The sequence below is a fragment of the Homo sapiens genome, chromosome 1 (genome assembly GCF_000001405.40).
Source record: "Homo sapiens chromosome 1, GRCh38.p14 Primary Assembly".
Lineage (NCBI taxonomy): Eukaryota > Metazoa > Chordata > Mammalia > Primates > Hominidae > Homo > Homo sapiens.
In genome coordinates this window covers 20,492,929-20,511,868 of record NC_000001.11, presented here as the reverse complement: position 1 = coordinate 20,511,868, position 18,940 = coordinate 20,492,929, and the positions used below count along the sequence as shown (strand labels likewise).

Here is an 18,940-nt window from a genome sequence, read left to right as displayed (position 1 = left end):
ATTGCTCCTAACAAGGTCCACATGATGTAAATTTCAGACTGTCCCAGTAGGACTGTGCTCAGCATAGCTAATGAAGGATTTCAGCCTTTGGCAAAAAAAATGGAAGGGTTATTTAAAACCAAACTGTGTCATTTAAGAGTGATGGCTTTAATGAGCTCCCAGGGAACTCATAAAAGGGCCCAGAGAATAAAACAAGGAGGCCTAAAATAGTCAGAACCTGTAAGCAAGGACCCCTAACTTATTGCAGTGCAGCACTCTGCCTGTTTTATTTTAAGGACCCGTTTTTGTTCTCTTCCTTGCTGTAACCTAAGGATACAAGAATTTTGATTATATATATTTTTTAAAAAACAGGTTAGGTTGCACCCTTGCTGATCCTCAAAAAGCTTTACTGGAATGGATACCATCCCCAAAATGATGAAGTTTAAAGTTTTGGTTTGGCATTTAGGGACCTACAGGATCTGGCCTCAACCCTCCTTTTCAATTACTTGCTCCTTGCTCTCTGTCGCACATCCTGGGCTCTAGCTATACTGGGCCAACTCTTGGTAGCTTTGTACCTTTGCTGTTTCTTCCCCCCTCTTCATGGAAGGCCTTTCCTACTTCCATCCCAGCCACTCCACCCTCCATTCTGTTAACAGAACTCAAATTCCTTCCCTGGTGGAAATAAACAGCATCTCCCTACTGTGGCACTTGGTTGTCCTAATTTCACTGGACCTGGGGCAATCTGTAACTGTCCATGTCTACCTCCCCACAAGACCCTAACCAGTCAGAGGGAAGAGGCTGGCTATATAAGGTGTATCTCCTAATGCCCAGCCTAGAACCTTGGATGTAGGAGGCTCTCTGTAATTGTTGGTTGTGAAGTAAATAGCATGCTCTTTTTTTTTTTTTTTTTTTTTTTGAGATGGAGTCTCACTCTGTTGCCCAGGCTGGAGTGCAATGGCGCTATCTCAGCTCACTGCAACCTGCGCCTCCTGGGTTCAAGTGATTCTCCTGCCTCAGCCTCCCAAGTAGCTCGGATTATAGGCATGTGCCACCAAGCCTGGCTAATTTTGTATTTTTAGTAGAGACGGGGTTTGTCTATGTTGGTCAGACTGGTCTCGAACTCCCGACCTCCCGACTTCAGGCAATCTGCCCGCCTCCGCCTCCCAAAGTGCTGGGATTACAGGCGTGAGCCACAGCGCTTGGCCATGCCCAGCTAATTTTTTGTATTTTTAGTAGAGACGGGATTCCACCATGTTGGCCAGGCTGGTCTCGAACTCCTGACCTCAGGTGATCCACCTGCTTCGGCCTCCTACAGTGCTGGGATTACAGGCGTGAGCCACCTCGCCTGGCCATTTTTTTTTTAAATTCTAGTTTTATTAATTCAAAATATGCTGTACATTCACACTCAAAAGATACAACAGAGTGAAAAGTCACCTTCTCTGTTCTCTAGCCACCCCATTCCCTTCTATGGAAAGAACCAATTATTATCAGCTTTTTGTGAATCCTTCTGGAGACATGCAATATATATAGTATACTCTTCTCTCTCCTTTTAAAAATAAACGGGGTTCCTCTTTAGTTTTGCAGTTTGCTGTTTCACCTGACTATGCACACATACACATATTTAAAAAATTTACTCAACCAACTGACTATTGATAACATTTAGTTTACTTTCATTATTTTGTTATTAAAAACAATGTTGGGCCTGGAGGGACACGTTTTACATACATTGAATCAGGCCACTAGGTAAGATGTGTCTAAAAACTACAGATGATGTATCTAAAAACTGTAGACTGCTCCACAAAAGTAAAATTTCTTTATTAAATCAGCCTGTTATATATAACAGTTTTTAACTCCATTCCTTAAATACAATTGGGGTCAAATAAGAATTACTTTCTATAAGAATAGGGCTAGAATCATTAGATTGTTAACACTGTGAGATATCTTTGATGATTTTCAACCCAAGGGATGATCATGAATTTGGTAAACACACACACACACAAACTTAAAATGAGGTCTAACCTTAAATTTTTAATAGAACTTGTCAAAAAGTTTGTTAGCAAAAGTGTGGGTGAAAAGAGATTCCCGGCCAGGCGCAGTGGCTTACTCCTGTAATCCCAATACTTTGGGAGGCCAAGGCGGGCGAATCACTTGAGGTCAGGAGTTCAAGACCAGTCTGGCCAATATGGTGAAACCTTGTCTCTACCAAAAATACAAAAATTAGCTAGGCGTGGTGGTGCACGCCTGTAGTCCCAGCTACTTGGGAGGCTGAGGCACGAGAATCACTTAACTTGGGAGGCGGAAGTTGCACTGAGCCGAGATCACGCCACTGCACTCCAGCCTGGGCTACAGAGCGAGACTCTGTCTCCAGAAAAAAAGAAAAGAAATTCCCACATATTGCTCATAAATGTAAAATTGGACATTATGGAGAAAAATTAGACAATGTTGATCAAGATTAATGGTGCCAACACCCATTGACCTAGCAATTCTACCTCTAGAAATTCTCCCTACATAAATACTTATACATGTAAACATGAAAATACAAGAATTTAGGCTTGGTGTGGTGACTCACGCCTGTAATCCCAGCACTTTGGGAAGGCAAGTCAGGAGGATCACTTGAGCCCAGGAGTTCCAGACCAGCATGGCCAACATAGTGAGACCTTGACTCTACAAAAAATTTTTTAAAAAATTAGCCGGGGGTGGCATGCATCTTTAGTCCTAACTACTGGGGAGGCTGAGGTGGGAGGATTGCGGGGTGGGAGGCTGCAGGGAGCTATGATTGCACCACTGCACTCCAGCCTGGGCGACAGAGCAAGACCCTGTCTCAAACAAATAAAAAAATTAAAGCATAACCTGTAGGAGATAGCTCAATGAATGCTGATGTTTAGAAGAAAGATTTGGGTTATCTCCGATTATTTTAGAAAGGAGATGCATTACAGAGATCAGGGAACAGTCTCTGAGAAGGATCCCCTGGGTTTTATGGCCATACCTATTGCTTTTAGCTGTATAACCTTGAGCAAGTTACTTACCTGAGCCTCAGTTTCTTTATCGGTAATCTGCATTATAGCTGTGTTGTGAAGGTTCAGTGGGATGGTGCCTGCAAAACCTCCCCCGCCTCGAACCTGACACATAATAGGCACTAAGCGTAGCCGTAATTATTATTTAATAAATATGTTGTTCTATGTGGTGATGGCAGATTAAGGGGCTACTTTGGTGATATAATCTGCCCTCCTGGGGTAGAGTTGAGGGCTTTGGAGTTGGGTGAATTCCTCTCTAGCACTCACTAGACTTCGAGCACATCATTCCCTAACCTCTATGGCCTCACTTTTCTCATCTGTAAAGTGGCCAGAATAAATTCCAAGTCTTGAGAGTTTGCTCTGAAACTTAAACGTATATTACTCATAAGAGTTTAATACACAATTATTTTATTTCCTGCCAATCTAATGGCGAAGACATGGAATAACCCATCAAACAGCCCAGTAACCCCAGGAAACCAGAGGGACGGAAACCAGGGCGATGGGCGAGTCAGTCATGGCCAGTGCGCCGTGTTTCGAAGGGGACGGCCATGGAGCGGTGGGTGGTCGCTCAGCTCCCCAATCGCTCTCCGACACCCGGCTGGGGAGACAGGACCTCCCTGGAGGCCGCAGCAGCTTGATTGTCACCCGGGCAACCCCACCTTCCGGTTCCCTCTACAACCCCTTGCCCCGCTTCCGGTTCCGGCGTCGTGCGTCATCGCTGGGCGACTGATTTCGAGTTTCCGGTCAGGTTAGGCCGGGGGGGTGCGGTCCTGGTCGGAAGGAGGTGGAGAGTCGGGGGTCACCAGGCCTATCCTTGGCGCCACAGTCGGCCACCGGGGCTCGCCGCCGTCATGGAGAGCGGAGGGCGGCCCTCGCTGTGCCAGTTCATCCTCCTGGGCACCACCTCTGTGGTCACCGCCGCCCTGTACTCCGTGTACCGGCAGAAGGCCCGGGTCTCCCAAGAGCTCAAGGTCAGTGCTGGAGCCGGCCTGGCCTCAGCCGGGTCATCTCTGTCCCAGGTGCTGGGGAGCCCATGATTCACCTTGGCCGCCCCACCGTCGGAAACTGTCCAAAAAAGGAAACAGCCTCTGAAGGGTGTCATCCAGCCAGTAGATGGAGGAGCGAGGGGCAGGATTCGGGCTCGGGATAACGGCTGCTCCGCTCCTTTTCTCCCAAGTCCCTCTTATGACTCAGAATGAATCTTGACTTCATTACTTTACTCGAAAAATATTTATTGAACACCTGCGATGCTCCAGGCAGTGAGTCGAACAGATGAAAGTCCATCCCCTCGTGGAGATACCATTTTAGTACGACTAGACAGCAAACATGTAAATCAGGCGGTGTAACAGATGGTGAGCAATGCTTTAGAGTAAGGTAGGGGAGAGAGGACATGGAATGCTGGAGAAAGGGGGATCTCCTATCTTAAATAAGGTGACATTTGAGCAGAGCCTAGGAGGAGATGAGGGGAGTCATGCAGATATCTAGCGGGAGATGGAAGGAACAGCAAGTGCAGACATCCATTTACTGAACCACTCCACTCCTTGCTTTACAGACGCTTCCTTTTTATATTACAACTATTTTTATAAATGGCGCTTTTTTCTGAACTGTGCTTTACGGTTTACACAACACATTTGCATTTATTTTTATTTTTTATTTTTTCGAGATGGAGTCTTGCTGTGTCGCCCAGGCTGGAGTGCAGTGGCGGGATCTGGGCTCACTGCAGCCCCTGCCTCCCGGGTTCAAGTGATTCTCCTGCTTCAGCCTCCCGAGTAGCTGGGATTACCACGCCCAGCTAACTTTTTTGTATTTTAGTAGACACAGGGTTTCACCATGTTGGCCAGGCTGGTCTCCAGCTCCTGACGTCGGGTGATCTCCCCGCCTCGGCTCTCCGAAGCGTTGGGATGTAAAGGCGTGAGCCACTGCGCCCAGCCACATTTTCATCTTGATTTTATTTTTTTCTTAACAATAATTTTTTTTCCTTTCTTTCCTCTCCTTTTCTTTTCTTTTTCTTTTTCTTTTTTTTTTTGAGACGGAGTCTCGCTCTGTTGCCCAGGCTGGAGTGCAATGGCACGATCTTGGCTCACTGCAACCTCTGCCTCCCGCGTTCAAGTGATTTTCCTGCCTCAGCCTCCGGAGTAGCTGGGATTACAGGTACCTGCCACCACGCCTGGCTAATTTTTGTATTTTTAGTAGAGATGGGGTTTTGCCATGTTGGCCAGGCTGGTCTCCAACTCCTGACTTCAGGTGATCCCTCTGTCTCAGCCTCCCAAAGTGCTGGGATTACAGGCGTGAGCCACTGCGCCTGGCCCACAATAATTTTTTGAAGTAAATAAAATGACAGTTACCACCACATTGCAAATCAGAAAATTGAGATTTGGAGGAAAGGCCATACAGCTAGTCAGCTTGAAACTTAAATTTAGGTCTTTTGATTCCAAGGGTAGGATTTTAATCTGATTGACATTGCTTTATTGTGACTATCTGACTGGTCCAGAGAGATGGACCTCTTTAGGTCAGAGACAGGGTCTTATTCATCCATTCTCTTTCCTCTAGCTTCTAACACAGTACTTGGCAAGTGGTAGATGCTCAGTAAATGTTTGTGGGTTCTTTTTGGCTGAAGTTTCACAATACAAGAGCTAAGGGCCTAACCTAATTTGATGTTTATATGAAAGATGGATTCCTAAACCTGACTAACTTAATTATCAGATTGTTTTCAGTAAGGGTTTAGAAACTAATGTGTGGGCCAGGCTACTCCAGCCTGGGTGACAAGAGCAGGACTCCATCTCAGAAAAAAAAGAAACCAATGTGTGAACTCCAGTCCCTGCCATGAAGGGAGTTTTGGAATCTGGAAAGAACCAAGTTATGAGGCAATTGGATTTGCTGTGCAGTGGCGTTATAGTGAGATTCCAGCTGCCCTGTATTTCTCCTGATTAAATAATCAAGTTAATCCTGAAGTGATTAGCTCTGTGTATCTGATACTTCACTTTCTGACTCCAAACCACTTTGGCCTCAAGTTGGCTGGAGGAGGGCTTCTTTGAAGCAGTGAACTCTTTAGGTCTCATCTTTGGGTGACCTTAAAACCTTTGCCAAACAGTTCCTAAATGAGGATGAAATAGCCCCTTCCTGGAAAAAAAGTTGGGACTGTTAATATTTTAGATTCTATTTTCTATTTCCTTCCTCTCTTTCTCCCTCCCTTCCTTCCTTTTCTTTCTCTTTGGCCTTCCTTCCTGTCCTTCATTTCTTTCTTCTTTCTTTTTTTCTTTTTCCTCTTCTTTTTTTTTTTTTTTTTTTTTTTTGAGACATGGTCTTACTCTGTTGCCCAGGCTGGAGTGCAGTGGCACAAACATAGCTCATTGCAGCCTCGAGCTCCCAGGCCCATGCCAGTCTCCTGCCTCAGCCTCCTAAGTAGCTAGGACTACAGGTGCACACCACCACCTCCAGCTAATTTTTTATTTTTCATAGAGATGGGGTCTTGCATGTTGCTCATGCTAGTTTTGCACTGCTGGCCTCAAGCAGCTATCCCACTTTGGACTCCCAAAGTGCTGGGATTACAGGTGTGAGCTACCATGCCTGTCCTAGATTCTATTTTCTTGATCAGATGACAAAACTTCCAGAGAGGGGCTTGTGTCCTATCCTGTGTATCTCTCATAGTGAGGAGAATGCAAATTTATTGCGTGCCTCCTATGTGCCAGCCCCCGGGCTGGATTCTTTCACACCTTGAAGTTCATTTAACCCACATAAAAATCCTGTGAAATTGCATTTTCCCTGTCCTTTATGGTTTTGGAACCTGAGACTCAGATAAATGAAGTTGTCCCAAGTCACAGTGGATGCATTGGCGCTAGATTAAACTCCAGATCTTTCTGATCATATTCTCCCTCTTCCCCCTTTAAAATTCGAATTGGCCATCCTGTGGTGGATACTTTACTAGCTGTCTCACTTTGGGCAAATCACTTCACCTCTCTGAGCCTGTTTCCTTGTCTGTAATTGGTGATAATAATGTCTACCGTAAAGGGATGGTGTGGGCATTAAGTGGTTTATGCATTTAAAGTGCCTAGCATATTGCCTGGTACATAGTATATTTAAATGCTTACTTATTCATTAATTTATTAATCAAATAATGTATTAAATGCTTGCTGTGTGTCAGGCACAGTTCTCCGCACTAGGGGGATAGCAGTGAACAGGACAAACAGTGTCCAAGCCCTCCTAGAGTTTAACATTCTAGTGGAGGGAGACAGATAATGAGTAAATTGTTAGTTGTTATTGCTGTCATTTTGGTATCTTCACAGTGTAAGTGGCTAAGAAATTTTGATTGACCTTGCTCCTGTCACTTACTGTGTAGCAGTAGCTTAAACTCAGAGTGACCTTCATATACATCTTGTATCACATCACCTCTTTAGAGGTTACTGAATCTGGCATCCTTAAGAGTTGTTTTTGGGAATACCCTGAAAGCAGAGATGGTCCTTTATTCGTCCTGAATCTCTGACACCCAGCACAGTGCCTGGCACAAAGATGCTCAGGAAATGATTGTTGATTTTATTCCTTTTCTCTTATTTTTGAAACAGCAGTAACAGGATTGGTTTCCCAAGTGCAGTGGGTTGGACGCTCTGAGTTGGAAGGCAGAGGAGAACTAGGGATTGTTAGAGGAAGACAGCAGCAGAAAGAACCGTGCTCACTTAATTATGAGCATGAAAAAGGCAAAAAGTAGAACAGACTGGGTGCGGTGGCTCACACCCGTAATCCCAGCACTTTGGGAGGCCGAGGCAGGAGGATCGCTTGAGCTCAGGAGCTCAACACCAGCCTGGGCAACATTGGGAGACCCTGTCTCTGCAAAATAAAAAAATTAGACAGGTGTGGTGGTGCATGCCTATGGCCTCAGCAACTTGGGGGCCTGAGGTGGGAGGATCACTTGAGCCTGGGAGGTTGAGGCTGCAGTGAGCCATGATTGCACTACTGCACTCCAGTCTGGGTATAACAGTGAGACCCCATCTCAAAAAAAAAAAAAAATGTAGAATGGCATTTGGCACCAGTTAACAGTCTTCCTGTTGAAGCAAAGGCAACTCCCCCTGCTTTGTTTTTTTAATAACATACAATGCAGAGCATTGGTTCGTAAAGATGTGGTAATATTAATAATAACACCTACCAGTTCTCAAACCACTGCCATGTGCTAGGTGATAGGTTAGGTACTTTATACCTGAACCCTTTGGATCATAGCTCTGTGTTGTCAGGAAGAGATTGAATGATGTTCAGTCTGTGGTATGTAAATTGACTAGTACCTTTTATATTTTCACTAAAAAGTCTTAACATGAAAAGGAGTATAGGTTTTGGTTAACTGGAACAAGAATGTATGTGGCACCCCCATTCTGCAGTGATGGAAGAGGCAGAGGCATGGCTCCATTCCTGTTGATGTACACAGCTTTGAAATCTGATTCTCAGTAGTCACCTTCCTGTCCAATTTCCATATTCTCTTGACACGAAAAAAATAGAATCTTTTTCTTTTTTTTGCCTGTAAGTTTGATTGAGCATGTCAGTGTTCAATGGCCAATTAATTTAATTTTTTTTTTTTATTTAGGGAGCTAAAAAAGTTCATTTGGGTGAAGATTTAAAGAGTATTCTTTCAGAAGCTCCAGGAAAATGCGTGCCTTATGCTGTTATAGAAGGTATGTTTGCTTATTGGTCAATGGAAAACAACGTCTTTTTCCCAAAAGATTGATAAAGATCATCTTGGCTAATATGAAGAGCCTTTTGTGGTGTTGGGTCCATGGTCCAGAACATACTTTGGGGTCAGAAAGACATGGGTTATTGCTTTGTGATCGCTAAGATTACCAAACCTCCCTGAACCACTGTTGCCTGATCTCGAAAATAATACTTACCTTTATGGGGTTGTTATAAGACAAATTATGTGATCCATGCAAAGTGCTTAGGAGAGTGCTTCTAAAATGTGACTTATGGTGATCAGAATGTCATTGTTTTGATGAATTAGCAAAAGTCAACTGAAAACACTTAATTTTTAACATTTTTTAAATTAAAAAAAAAATTTTTTTTTGAGGCCAGGTGTGGTAGCTCATGCCTGTAATCCCAGCACTTTGGGAGGCTGAGATGGGCTGATCACTTGAGCTCAGGAGTTTGAGACCAGCCTGGTCGACATGATGAAACCCCGTCTCTACTAAAAATACAAAAATTAGCTGGATGTGGTGGCACATACCCGTAATCCCAGCTACTCGGGGGGCTGAGGCAGGAGAATTGCTTGAACCCGGGAGGCGGAGGTTGCAGTGAGCCAAGATTGCACCACTGTACTCCAGCCTGGGTAACAGAGTGAGACTCCGTCTCAAATAGAGTCTTGGCTCTGTCACCCAGGTAGCTGTAGTATGGTGGTGTGATCATAGCTCACTGCAGCCTCAAACTCCTGAGCTCAAGTGATTCTCCTGCCTCAGCCTCCCAAGTATCTGGGACTACAGGCACATGCCACCACACCCTGCTAACTTTTTAATTTTTTGTAAAGATGGAATCTCACTGTGTTAACCAGGCTGGTCTCAAACTCGTGGCCCCAAGTGATCCTTCTGACTTGGCTTCCCAAAGTGTTGGGATTATAGGTGTGACCTACTGTGCCAGACCAGAAAACACATTTTAAATTATCTGAAAGGAGAGGGCAGAAAACTTCTTCAGAAATAATAGAATTTGTGTCCACTTAGGAGCTGTGCGGTCTGTTAAAGAAACGCTTAACAGCCAGTTTGTGGAAAACTGCAAGGGGGTAATTCAGCGGCTGACACTTCAGGAGCACAAGATGGTGTGGAATCGAACCACCCACCTTTGGTATGTATCACTTCTCCACTGGCCAAAACCCTTGCAGTTGGTCTATTCAAATGCTGGGGTCCTGGGTGCTGTTGCCGTGACTTCAGCTTCTCCTGAGACAGGTTGAAGCCCAGTCTCTTAATGCAGGTCATATTCTTGTGTGTAGCCTGTGGGCCTCCTATGTCGGAATCACCGAGGCATCTTGTTGAAATGCAGATTTCTGAGCTCCCTTCAGTCCCTGAAGTGGATAAGTCAGTCCCTGGTGACTTATCCAACCAGAATTTCCAGGATCAGGGACCTGGAATCTGTTGTTAGGCACACTGAAGTTTGAGAACCACTGAATCAGTGATTTCAGTATTTCCTAAAATGCTTTTGTGCCATCATATGAAATATCAGTTTTCCAACTGGTCCTAGTGAGTTTTGTTTTAGATGTTTGTTTTACAGTGGAAAGGGAAATGATAGTCTGTGGCGGTTATTTGTTGCCCACTGATATCGCCCCAGGACCTACAAATGGAGCCTCCTTGTTAGGAGGCAACTGGAGATAGTGATCTTACTGTCTTCTTCCAGTTACTTCAGACCATATGCTGTCCTCCACATTTAGTTGATCTCCAGTTCTGCCTGGGTGTTTGCTGTTTGCTACCCTGTATCTTTAGTTCTCTTATTCTTCTAGGAATGATTGCTCAAAGATCATTCATCAGAGGACCAACACAGTGCCCTTTGACCTGGTGCCCCACGAGGATGGCGTGGATGTGGCTGTGCGAGTGCTGAAGCCCCTGGACTCAGTGGATCTGGGTCTAGAGACTGTGTATGAGAAGTTCCACCCCTCGATTCAGTCCTTCACCGATGTCATCGGCCACTACATCAGCGGTGAGCGGCCCAAAGGCATCCAAGAGACCGAGGAGATGCTGAAGGTGGGGGCCACCCTCACAGGGGTTGGCGAACTGGTCCTGGACAACAACTCTGTCCGCCTGCAGCCGCCCAAACAAGGCATGCAGTACTATCTAAGCAGCCAGGACTTCGACAGCCTGCTGCAGAGGCAGGAGTCGAGCGTCAGGCTCTGGAAGGTGCTGGCGCTGGTTTTTGGCTTTGCCACATGTGCCACCCTCTTCTTCATTCTCCGGAAGCAGTATCTGCAGCGGCAGGAGCGCCTGCGCCTCAAGCAGATGCAGGAGGAGTTCCAGGAGCATGAGGCCCAGCTGCTGAGCCGAGCCAAGCCTGAGGACAGGGAGAGTCTGAAGAGCGCCTGTGTAGTGTGTCTGAGCAGCTTCAAGTCCTGCGTCTTTCTGGAGTGTGGGCACGTTTGTTCCTGCACCGAGTGCTACCGCGCCTTGCCAGAGCCCAAGAAGTGCCCTATCTGCAGACAGGCGATCACCCGGGTGATACCCCTGTACAACAGCTAATAGTTTGGAAGCCGCACAGCTTGACCTGGAAGCACCCCTGCCCCCTTTTCAGGGATTTTTATCTCGAGGCCTTTGGAGGAGCAGTGGTGGGGGTAGCTGTCACCTCCAGGTATGATTGAGGGAGGAATTGGGTAGAAACTCTCCAGACCCATGCCTCCAATGGCAGGATGCTGCCTTTCCCACCTGAGAGGGGACCCTGTCCATGTGCAGCCTCATCAGAGCCTCACCCTGGGAGGATGCCGTGGCGTCTCCTCCCAGGAGCCAGATCAGTGCGAGTGTGACTGAAAATGCCTCATCACTTAAGCACCAAAGCCAGTGATCAGCAGCTCTTCTGTTCCTGTGTCTTCTGTTTTTTTCTGGTGAATCGTTGCTTGCTGTGGACTTGGTGGAGGACTCAGAGGGGAGGAAAGGCTGGGCCCCGAGTACAACGGATGCCTTGGGTGCTGCCTCCGAAGAGACTCTGCCGCAGCTTTTCTTCTTTTTCCTCATGCCCCGGGAAACAGTCTTTCTTCAGAATTGTCAGGCTGGGCAGGTCAACTTGTGTTCCTTTCCCCTCACCTGCTTGCCTCCTTAACGCCTGCACGTGTGTGTAGAGGACAAAAGAAAGTGAAGTCAGCACATCCGCTTCTGCCCAGATGGTCGGGGCCCCGGGCAACAGATTGAAGAGAGATCATGTGAAGGGCAGTTGGTCAGGCAGGCCTCCTGGTTTCGCCACTGGCCCTGATTTGAACTCCTGCCACTTGGGAGAGCTCGGGGTGGTCCCTGGTTTTCCCTCCTGGAGAATGAGGCGCAGAGGCCTCGCCTCCTGAAGGACGCAGTGTGGATGCCACTGGCCTAGTGTCCTGGCCTCACAGCTTCCTTGCAAGGCTGTCACAAGGAAAAGCAGCCGGCTGGCACCCTGAGCATATGCCCTCTTGGGGCTCCCTCATCCAGCCCGTCGCAGCTTTGACATCTTGGTGTACTCATGTCGCTTCTCCTTGTGTTACCCCCTCCCAGTATTACCATTTGCCCCTCACCTGCCCTTGGTGAGCCTTTTAGTGCAAGACAGATGGGGCTGTTTTCCCCCACCTCTGAGTAGTTGGAGGTCACATACACAGCTCTTTTTTTATTGCCCTTTTCTGCCTCTGAATGTTCATCTCTCGTCCTCCTTTGTGCAGGCGAGGAAGGGGTGCCCTCAGGGGCCGACACTAGTATGATGCAGTGTCCAGTGTGAACAGCAGAAATTAAACATGTTGCAACCAAGTGCTAGCCTGTTGCTTTGTTAACAGGAGTTAAATGGCTAAGCCTAAGTGTCCCCAGGATGGGATTGAATCCCTGCCACAATGGAGTGAAAGGTGGGGGAGTTTGAGGCCTCTGTGTTCTTTTCCTCGGCTATAGTGGTTTGGGGCTCCCCCAGATGGGGTGATGCAGAGGCCGGCCGGGATGCCTGCCCCCTGGGGAGGAATCTGGACAGCCCACCCGTGGGTCATATCTGGCCTTGCTGACCATCTTTGAAGTCTGTCCCGACAGCCTACAAATCAGGGCAGTGAGATTTCACCTGCTGGGAGAATGGGATGGGGATGGGGTGCTGGGGGACAGCAGAGAGGAAATGAGCATTTAGCAATACTGTGTATGAGGTACTGTGCCGTGTGCTGTTTCAAACTCATTTCAGAGTGAGTTCATCCTCACAAAACCCCTGCAGGCCGAGTCCCGGTGTCTGTGCTGTACAGGTGAGGAAGTAGGCCCAGAGGGTACATTCACTGGGCTGAGGGCACAGATACAGCAAGTCCCGGGTCTGACTGAATTTAAACCCCAAGCTATTTCTAAAGTCCTCATCCTTCTCACCAGTGTGGGGCCAGTGAATTCCTCAGTGCTAACAGGAACACTCACAAGAGATGTGTTCCCCAAGTCCATAGAGGAGAACTGGTGGCCACACTAGAGGAACAGGCAAAAGTTGGGGTAAGAATCCACTTGCCAATATTGAGTCCGTCCAGTGAAGTACGAAGACGTTGGTTTTACACAAGGTGCTGGAGGGTGGGGCAAGGTGACAGGCCCCTGATGGGAATGGCCTCTTTGCGCACCTTGAAAGCCTCTGTCCCCTTTTCATCGTCCTTCTGGCGCTTAGCTTGTAACAGAAGGTGAATGAAGTGGCCTAGGGGGATTTGCATGGTAAGCTATCTGAGTTCAGCCCTTGGCATATCTTTTGTGGGGAAATCTGATCAAAGAGATTAAAAAGGAGCAGGTAGGCTGCTTTCCCTAGCCCACCTCAATCTTGGACATTCCAATTCATGAATTGGAATTGGAATTCCAATTCATACCGAGTGTTCTTCCCCACTGAGCTTCCCAGCTGAGCTCCCTGTCGTGGGAGACCCAGGACCGGCACACGGCCCCTGCCTCAGGAAGCTGGCATGTGCCTGGACCCCCTGGGTGCGAGGGCCCTGCTTGGTCCTATCCTGCCGGGGACTGAGACTGTCCCATATTCTACTTCAGCTGTCACTGGCCGTTCCCACCTATTTTAGGAGCCTAATCTCCAGGAGGTTTGCATGGGTCCTAAATGGATGTGTGGAACCAAGGCTGGCAGGAGGGATGACAGAGAAAAGGGGAAGCAGGAAGTCAGTTCTGAACTGACCATGGGATGATGATGAATTTTGAGTCTCCCCTAAATCACCCCTGTGCTCAGTCACTTTACTCCCAGGCAGCCAGCGTTGGGCAGGAATCATCTTGAATAATTGCTGCTGGTGTTCTGACTGTCCGTGCCAGGCACTTCATTTGCATTAGTGTGGCCCTATGCAGTGGATATTGTTGCCTCCAATTAGTGGGGCCCAGTGGGGTTACATCTTGCCTACATCCACACGTCCTCACAAGCCCAGCAATGTCAGGCTCTTCACAGGTATTGTTTCTAATATAGCAAACCAGCAAGGGATGCCACATCACCCTTTTACAGGTTATGTGACTTGTTCAAGGCTACCGCGATCTGACTATAAAACCTGCAATCTTTGCTTTTTATCACGAGGCCTGGGAGGCTAAAAAGGGAAGTTGTCCATGAGACAACTTAGTATTACCATAAATACACAGCATTTTACAAGCCGAGCAGCACCTCGGGAAGAACCAATCACATCCCCAGCTGATCTAGTGGATGGGGGCTGGAAGGCAGTCTTTGGAATCCAATTTCATTCAGAATTCTAATGGAAAATCTAAAAAGCAACAACCTGTGGGAAAATTAAAAAGCAAACAATAACATGACAAACTAGCCACTCTGACACCCTCTGCAGCCGTGATCATAGGCCATGACAACTCCAGTTGGGGGATGGATGCTGATGGTCCCACAGGGCCTCTGGAATGCTCAAAGTTGGTATCATGGATGGGCATTTATATTTTGAGACGGAGTTTCGCTCTCATTGCCCAGGGTGGAGTGCAGTGGCATGACCTCGGCTCGCTGCAACCTCTACCTCCTGGGTTCAAGCAATTCTCCTGCCTCAGCTTCCCAAGTAGCTGGGATTACAGGTATGCGCCACCACGCCTGGCTAATTTTTTGTTTAGTAGAGACGGGGTTTCACCATGTTGGTCAGCTGGTCTCCAACTCCTGACCTCATGTGATCCACCTGCCTCAGCCTCCTAAAGTACTGGGATTACAGGTGTGCCCCACCGCACCCGGCTCATGGATGGGCATTTATTCACCCAACAAACATTTGCTGAATGTGTATTTTGTGCCTGGAAATACAAGATGAATAAGACAGTCTGTGCCTGCAAAGGGCTCAGAGTTGTTTCAAAGGATCTGAGTTGTTTGAACAGGAGTAAACCCTGTTTGACAGGTGTATTAGTCCCTTCTCACTCTGCTAGAAAGAAATACCTGAGACTGGGTAGTTCATAAAGAAAAGAGGTTTAATTGGTTCACGGTTCTGCAGGCTGTACAGGAAGCATAGCAGCTGCTGCTCCGCTTCTGGGGAGGCCTCAGGGAGGTTTCAGTCGTGGCAGAAGGCAAGGGGGAGAAGCACTTCATATGGCCGGAGCAGGAGGAAGTGGAGGGAGATGCTACACGCTTAAACAACCAGCTCTCACATCACTCACTCACTATCATGAGAACAGCGCTGAGAGGGTGGTGTTAACCCATTCATGAGAACTTTGCCCCCACGATCCCATCACCTACTACCAGGCCCCACCTCTGACACTGACGATTACAATTCGACATGAGATCCAAACCATATCAACATGTATGGTGACTCAGATCCAAACCATATCAACAGGTATGGTGACTCAGATCCAAACCATATCAACAGGTATGGTGACTCAGTTGTCGGGAACATTCGTGGTTCACAGAATATAGGACTTGAAAGGAGGCTTTGTGACAGGCCTGGTTAGAGCACATTCCATGACCATTAGCGATCAACCAACCAAGGGTGGTATCATTGCTGAAGGGAAGCAGAGAAAACATACCCCACAGAGTCGAGAATGATCTGTTTAAACCACCAACCTCGCCATGTCCCGCCTCTGCTTCAAGTTCACCTCCAGGTTCTCTGCCATCTGCAACATCGTGTCCTGGCTCTTCCATGGCATGAGAAGCCCTGCATGACCCTGACCCTGGCCACCTCCCCACAGTTTCCTGCATCCCTTTCAGTCTCATACTTGTGACTCCAACAACATTGAACTGTTGAGTTTCCTTAAACATGCCATGCTGGCCAGGCAGTAGCTCCCGCCTGTAATCCCAGCACTTTGGGAGGCCAAGGCAGGAGGATCACTTGAGGCTAGGAAGTAGAATTTGAGATGAGCCTGGACAACATAGCAGGACACTTTCTCTACAAAAAATAAAAACAAAGCTGACCATGGTGGTACACACCTGTAGTCCCAGCCACTCAGGAGACTGAGGTAGGAGGATGGCTTGAGCCCAGGAGATTGAGGTTGCAGTGAGCTGTAATCATGCCACAGCACTCCAGCCTGGGCAACAGAGTGAGACCCTAACTCCAAAAAACAAATAAAAACAAATAGAACCCCATGCCATGCTGTTGTCTGTCTTTGCTCACATGAATTCCTGATCTGGAATGCTGGTCCTTTCTTCACCTTGCTAAGATCGATTCACCTTTAACACTCAGCTTTAGGTGTGTCCTCCAGGGAAAATCTTCCCTGTCCCTCCCCACCTAGGCTGGGTTAGGTATCCCTCCTCTGAGATTCCATAATAAGAGTCTCAAATCTCGATTCCTGCTCTTAGCCATATTGTCAATGTCTTGGGCGGGGACTGTCTCATAACTTTTCCTTCTCCAGCACAAATTCTGGGTTGTCAGTGCAGACTAATTAGAACTCACATCAGGGCTCACTATTTGCTAGGTACCCTGAGAAGTGCAGTACATAATGAACCCTTCCGGTCCTCACTTGCGAGGTACGGAGGAATGTGTTTGTATTATTCTTAAATAAAAGGAAACAGAGGCCCAGAGAGGTCAAGTGTCTTGCCCAAGTGCACAAGAGGGATGGGACTTAAACCCAGGCAGTCTGACTCCAGAGCCCAAGCTCTTAACTACAGAATGTACATGGAATGAATGAGTCAACCCATGAATGAAATAGTAGGTGTGGGCGAAACAATCCTGGAAGACTGCCTAGAGGAGCTGGTTTTTGGACCACAGATGAAAGTGGTGATTGTAAGGAGTGAGGGCAGCCCCCCTTTTAGGACCTGGGAGCTATGATGGATGAACTGTACAGGAGGAACGCCATGTCCAGTGACCTGTCCAGAGCTTTGAGGACTCCACACAGGAAAGTCAGGGCAGTGTCACCGGATGGTGATAAATGGTCTTGACTGGGAGCCCAGTGACTGGCTTTCTCTCTGGTCCTGCTCCATTGCTGTGTGATCTTGATCAAGTGATTTAACCTCTCTGGGCCTTAGTTCTGTCTATGAAAGGAGCAAGCTGGATTAGAAGCTCTCCTCTGTTCAGCTCTATTTTGCATGTCTATGAGAGGCAGCATGGGTGAGGGACTAGGGAGGACAGTCCTGGAGCTGGTCTGAGAGATGAGATGTGGCTCCTCTGCAGGCTAGCTGGGTGCCACAGCCTCCAGACCGTGCTCCCAGAAAGCCGGGTGCTCAGCACATTTTCTCTCTAATTAGATAGTGTTAACTGATCAATTTTGAATGAGATCAGTTTCCATGTGTGCTGTCCTGAATTGCTCCCTGAAGTGCTCATTAGTCACTTCCCCTGCAGCTGCCTTATTGTTTTCCAGATGCCAGCGAGGGACTTGGCATTTCCCTTCCCTGAGACTGGAGCACGTGAGGCTGAGCCAGTGCCACTGGTGTGGGGCAGGGGGCGCTGAGCCAGTCTGGGTGAAGCCCCTCATCTCCTGCTCTTAACCCTTAGTCCCTGCTGGAGCCATTGCTCCTCATTAGGGACGTCACATCAACATTTTGTGGCCACGTGCTGCTGCTGCTGCCATTGGGCCATGACTCTGGGGGGCCACAGCCGAACTCAACAAACATTTATTAAGCGCTGAGTGGGCCAGGCACCTTGCATCTGTAACCCGAATGCTCCCTAGGCCTGGGAGGGGGGTACAAACGAGGTCGTACTAATGTTAATGTCCAGATGACCATAATTGCAGGCTCCATCCCCTCACCGTCTTCCCTAGCTATTAAAGGTGCTTCCTGCATTCCTAGTTACTGGGCTGTGCTCCACGCGTGCTTGCAACAAATCGCTCATCTTCATTTCCTCATTTCCTTCCTTCCCCAGCCCCTCCTAATGCTGCAGTCTCCACAATGCCCTCCAGGTGGCGCTATGTCTCTATGGTCGAGGAGGGCTGGAGGACTTGGAGGACAAACAGGTTGTGCTTCCAAAGGCCTGTGCAATTTTCCCTTCCCCAAGGGATGGGGAACAGGCCTTGGAAGTCAGAGAGCAGACTCTGAGGAGGACGCTGGCCTCCTGATCCCAGGGCCAGCTGGGAACAGCCCGGAAAGGGCGAAGCAGTCTCTTCAATTTCCTCCTTTGTCGGCCCAACTCACTAGGGAGCTGGCTGCAGATGTGAAAGTTTTGAGAAACCCAGAAAATTCAGGGGGGACCAAAAATCCCACATTTCTCCCCTGTAATTTCCCAGGCATTCACATCTTTAAATATACTAACCATAATTTCTTTAAACAAAAACGAGATATGCATAATGCATTGCATGTTCTTAAAATATGCAAATGACTTCACACTGGGAAAGGATGCTTGAAAAAAAATTGTATGGCACAGATTTTGATTTTTCTCCCCAGAAGATTTTCCTCCGTGGAGAAATTCTGCTTCTCCAGCCTGGCCAGCTCTCTTCACTGCCTCGTGCTTTCTCCTGTGCTTCCGGCTTCTCTCTCTGCCTTCTCACTTCCCCGTCTTCTGCTTCCTCTCTTCCTCTGTCCCCTACTTTAATTGGAAGTTCTGCTTCTTGTCTGCCCAGTTTGTCTCCTGCCTTGGAGCCTGTGGAAGGGTTTCTTCCCCTGTGTGGGGATCTGTCTCCTTCTTTGAGATTGTTTTTAGTCTCTTGGATTCTGTTTCTGCCAATTTCTGCAAGTCTCGTTTTCACCTGTCCCTAGCACCTGCCTTCCCGATCAGATTGTCCTCTGCCATGTCCAGCCCAGGACCTGGCAGGGCTGGATGGGGAGGGCCTCTGTGACCATGCACCGGTGGCTCTGTAGTCTTCTATTCTCCCTATTACGTAGGAAGTCGCTTCCTAGGAAGAAGAGACCCTCTTCTCCTCTCCTGAAGGCCGTAGGAGGCTCTGGGCCGTGGGACTCACTGCTGGAGCTGTCCCTTGCTCTCACCGTAATGACTCAGTCTGCAACTC

The 18,940-nt window shown here is 47.9% G+C and overlaps 1 protein-coding gene across 2 annotated transcripts, besides 3 other annotated features; it reads left to right on the top strand.

Moving 5' to 3' along the window:
- Window positions 3,390–4,389: an enhancer, noted in NCBI's record as "H3K27ac-H3K4me1 hESC enhancer chr1:20833973-20834972 (GRCh37/hg19 assembly coordinates)". NCBI's record gives its function as "activates a minimal SCP1, AML or CMV promoter by ChIP-STARR-seq in primed H9 embryonic stem cells {active_cell/tissue: H9 hESC(primed)}" and the evidence as "EXISTENCE:reporter gene assay evidence [ECO:0000049][PMID:30033119]".
- Window positions 3,685–4,174: an enhancer, noted in NCBI's record as "active region_322". NCBI's record gives its function as "activates an Ori minimal core promoter by ATAC-STARR-seq in GM12878 lymphoblastoid cells {active_cell/tissue: GM12878}" and the evidence as "EXISTENCE:reporter gene assay evidence [ECO:0000049][PMID:35858748]".
- On the top strand, window positions 3,718–12,421 carry MUL1 (mitochondrial E3 ubiquitin protein ligase 1). Of its 2 annotated transcripts, none has more exons than NM_024544.3 (4): window positions 3,718–3,964; window positions 8,560–8,647; window positions 9,680–9,800; window positions 10,450–12,421. In NM_024544.3, exons 1-4 carry the CDS (start codon window positions 3,845–3,847, stop codon window positions 11,177–11,179), a joined length of 1,059 nt encoding a protein of 352 aa, NP_078820.2. In that variant the 5' UTR covers window positions 3,718–3,844; the 3' UTR covers window positions 11,180–12,421. The 2 variants fall into 2 exon arrangements, with proteins under 2 accessions (NP_078820.2, XP_011540439.1); XM_011542137.3 differs by having other exon boundaries at window positions 3,718–4,345.
- Window positions 14,970–16,169: an enhancer, noted in NCBI's record as "P300/CBP strongly-dependent group 1 enhancer chr1:20822193-20823392 (GRCh37/hg19 assembly coordinates)". NCBI's record gives its function as "activates an origin of replication core promoter dependent on BRD2, BRD4, P300/CBP, MED14 and CDK7 cofactors, with strong dependence on P300/CBP, by STARR-seq in HCT116 cells {active_cell/tissue: HCT116}" and the evidence as "EXISTENCE:reporter gene assay evidence [ECO:0000049][PMID:35650434]".